This window comes from Homo sapiens, chromosome 7, assembly GCF_000001405.40.
Source record: "Homo sapiens chromosome 7, GRCh38.p14 Primary Assembly".
Lineage (NCBI taxonomy): Eukaryota > Metazoa > Chordata > Mammalia > Primates > Hominidae > Homo > Homo sapiens.
Window position 1 is genome coordinate 148500358 of NC_000007.14, and position 3657 is coordinate 148504014.

At 46.7% G+C, this 3657-nt stretch overlaps 3 annotated features.

Moving 5' to 3' along the window:
* Positions 1358-2060: an enhancer, noted in NCBI's record as "OCT4-NANOG-H3K27ac hESC enhancer chr7:148198807-148199509 (GRCh37/hg19 assembly coordinates)". NCBI's record gives its function as "activates a minimal SCP1, AML or CMV promoter by ChIP-STARR-seq in naive H9 embryonic stem cells {active_cell/tissue: H9 hESC(naive)}" and the evidence as "EXISTENCE:reporter gene assay evidence [ECO:0000049][PMID:30033119]".
* Positions 1480-1774: an enhancer, noted in NCBI's record as "tiled region #8846; HepG2 Activating non-DNase unmatched - State 22:ReprW". NCBI's record gives its function as "activates a minimal TATA promoter and a strong SV40 promoter by Sharpr-MPRA in HepG2 cells {active_cell/tissue: HepG2}" and the evidence as "EXISTENCE:reporter gene assay evidence [ECO:0000049][PMID:27701403]".
* Positions 1940-1989: a silencer, noted in NCBI's record as "silent region_18732". NCBI's record gives its function as "represses an Ori minimal core promoter by ATAC-STARR-seq in GM12878 lymphoblastoid cells {active_cell/tissue: GM12878}" and the evidence as "EXISTENCE:reporter gene assay evidence [ECO:0000049][PMID:35858748]".

Here is a 3657-nt window from a genome sequence, read left to right on the forward strand (position 1 = left end):
AGGGAAAATTGTTCACATCCATCATCTAATTCTCAGCTCCACACTGTCAGGCAGCCCATCCCACATCAGTCCGCCTTCTCCCCGGATTTCTGGCCATTTGTCCACAACTCTACACAGCTGAGAGCAGCAGTGGACACAGACTCCACTCCCTGCCCAGAAGTGAATGCTGATTACTCAAATCCCTTCTCCTCCAGGAAAACTCTGCTGAAAAAGATTCCTTATACCACTCGGATACCTCTTAGGGTACCTCTTAGGATACCTGGATCCTAAGAAAGATGCAATGAAAGACAACTGTGGAGACTGTCATGGTTGGATGTGAGGTCACTGCTATATGAAATCTCGCCTACAGGACAGACTACGTTTCTTTGTTAACCAGTTTGAGTCAGTTTTTCTGTTTCATGAAGCCAAAATAATCCTACCCAATATAGGAGGGCATTTGAGTTCCATTAAACACATGAGGAGCTGAGGCTCAAAGATAAGTTACTTCCCAAACTAGCACAGGAGCAGAGCCAGCACTAAAAGCCCCCGACAAATATTTTAACTCATTCTACTACACCCCAGAGCATGGGGGCTGATGCTTGAGCCACCCCCTACAATGCCTCCTCCATGTGTTCAACTCACGTTTTATTTCTTGAAACCCAGAGGGCACCTGGTTCTCACCTGCCTCCAGGCGAGCCACTGGGGACGACATTCAAAGAGATCTTGTTCTTGTTCACAACAGAATCATTCCTTCGTGGACTTGCCTGGTCTGCTACTTGGAGCAACCTCAAGGCTGCAACTCAACAAGCATCGTTAAATACACAGGTAGATAATTAGCAAGTTTGTTGCCAGCTGCTACCTGGAGTTTGGACACAGAAAAGATTTGAAGGCAGCCGAGATTGCCTTCAGCACCAACTTTAGAGTCCTGGCTTGAAAGCTGGAACCTTTGCGTCCTCCTAGAGCTGGGGATATTCGAGTGTAAAGAGATCTCAGAGGGGATCTTGTCCAACGGCATCATTTCACAGGTGACATGAGTGAGCCCTGATGCCAGGCAGCAGGTTAGTTGCGGAGCTGGGGCTACAACTCAGTTCCCCCGCCCGGCTCCCAGCAAAGCATTTCCCGGAGCAATCTGCAATGTGGATGGTAACACCTGAAACTTTTTAATGACCTATAATTCTTAAACGCAAATGCACTTTGTTTACACTGACACGGCTCAGATAAGTGGAGGAACACCAGGGTTCTTGGTCCTTGCACCGGTTTAGATAAAACGACACAGACACACGTGGAGTGGTTTTAAGGAATGGAGAGTTTAACAGGCAAGACAGAAGAGAGAAGAAAGAAGCAGCTCCCCCTACACAGACAGAGGGAGGGGGCTCCAAAGCCAAGATAGGAAACACTATCTTGAGTGCCGCGGATACCAACCAGTTCTGTGAGGAGGCTGGAGGCGGTGTCTGATTTGCACAGGACTCAGAGGATTGGTTTGACCAGGCATGTCATTCACGTGGCCGCAAAAAAACCGGCCTTCTCACCCTAATCTTTTAATATGCAAATGCAGGGTGCCATGATGTTCTACACACGTGGGGATATGTGGGGGCGGCCATGCTGCCAGACACATATGGAGGGGCAGGGAAAGAGGACAAGGGGGGAATCCCCATGTTAGGATGGACCCAGTTTCTAATGGCTTGCATTTGCATATCAAAGGTTGCTAGCCAGGCTCTAAGAGCCGGGGCTTTCCTGCTAGACAAGAAACTTTTCTGGAGCTACTTTAAAAGAGACAGACGCGGTGGCTCATGCCTGTAATTCCAGCACTTTGGGAGGCCGAGGCAGGCGGATCATGAGATCAGGAGATCGAGACCATCCTGGCTAACACAGTGAAACCCCATGTTTACTGGCAGGGGCCTGTAATTCCAGCTACTCGGGAGGCTGAGGCAGGAGAATCGCTTGAACCCAGGAGGCGGAGGAGGTTGCAGTGAGCTGAGATTGCATTCTAGCCCAGGGGACAGTGCTAGACTCCGTCTCAAAAAAAAAAAAAAAAAAAAAAAAAGACAGAAATTTTCCAAGGACCCCTTTTCCTCTCTAACCGCCTAAAATAATTTCTTAATAACTCCTATAACAATACCATGAGGTTCCTGGTTTTGGTCTGAACTGTGCTCACCCAGGATTCATGCTTGTTTTGAGGACCCATAGGATGGGAGCTAGAGGGCCTTATTACATAAGGAACCCAGGTGGCCTCAGGGAGTGAGCCATCCTGAAAGGGGACAGGCCAGTTGCACGTGCTTGACCCAACCACATCAGGGGCTCACATTCTAATGCCAAGTGTGTGTGAAGTGCTTGCATTTTTTATCTCTATCTTTACAATTAACCTAGGAGACAGCAACTATTATTACCCTGTTTTATTCTTAAGGAAACCGTGACCTTCAGAAGTTGCAGAACTTCCCCCAAAGTCACACAACTGGTAAGTTACAGAGCCAGGTCTCCGCAGGCTCCAGCAGAGCCTGGTCTGTCAGTGACAACTGCCCATGCAGTTACCCGCTATGCTACATTGCCCCCAAAGAAGTAACAGCTGACATATGCCTGTTTCTAATTTGTGCAAAGAACAGTTTTAAGGACCCTCTACAAAGTAATTTGTTTAACCCTAGTAACCTCCTGTATCAATTTCCTAGCACTGTCGTAACAAATTAGCACAAACTGGGTGGCTTAAAACAACAGAAATTTGTTCTCTCAGAGTTCAGGAGGCCAGAGGTCTGAAATCAAGGTGTTGGCAGAGCCATGCTCCTTTCAAAGCTTCTTGGGGAAGATCCTCCTTGCCTTTTCCAGGTTCTGGTAGCTCATTAGCAAGACAGTAGAAACATAAAGTAGCACCACTTAGGCCCAATATGACAGAATGTGACACAGAAATGTTGGTCAGAGTTCAACATATCTACCTTGGAGGCTGTAACCCATCACAGGCTCTGGCTATATCAGATGCTACGACGTACTCCCAGTATTCTGACTCCCAATATTCTAGATGCCAGGAGCACCTTCAGTGGAGCAATAGACCTGCCTACGTGAGCCAGCGGACAGCACCCAGGCCCAGCACCTCCACGGGGCCCTTCAAGAGCCGAGGCCTCATAGTTGACGTCACTATAGAACATAGAATTAGCATCAGAGACAATAGACAGAGAAAACAGTAGGCACTATATGGGGACAGAATCCTAAGAGGAAACCTATACTGGCATTTGAGGTGTGTCAGGCTTTGTGCTAAAATGAACACTTTGCTTCTGTTGTCTCACTTTATCCTCACAAGACTTCCGTGACAAATGAGGAAACTGAGGCACGGAGATTTTAATAACCTGCCCAAGGCCAAGTCCAGGTGGTCTAGCTCTGGAACCCACTGTATCACACGAAGACCTGTGACCACCAGCACATGAAGACAACCTTCCTCTCTGTTCCATTTAATCTCACTCTTCCATTTAATCTCTCTGTTCCATTTAATCTCACACATTATGTAAATATTTTCAGAAAAGCATGGGCAATTTCATCAGTAGAGGCTCAATAACACCTGGAAATTTATTCTTCAATTGTTAATTCTACAACCTAGTTTCCTGTGCATGTAGAATTCCTGTTCAAAACTGTATTTTTTAATATCAAAGGTTTACTTCTTTGTACAACTCCGATTGACAATATTGTTTCTAAATA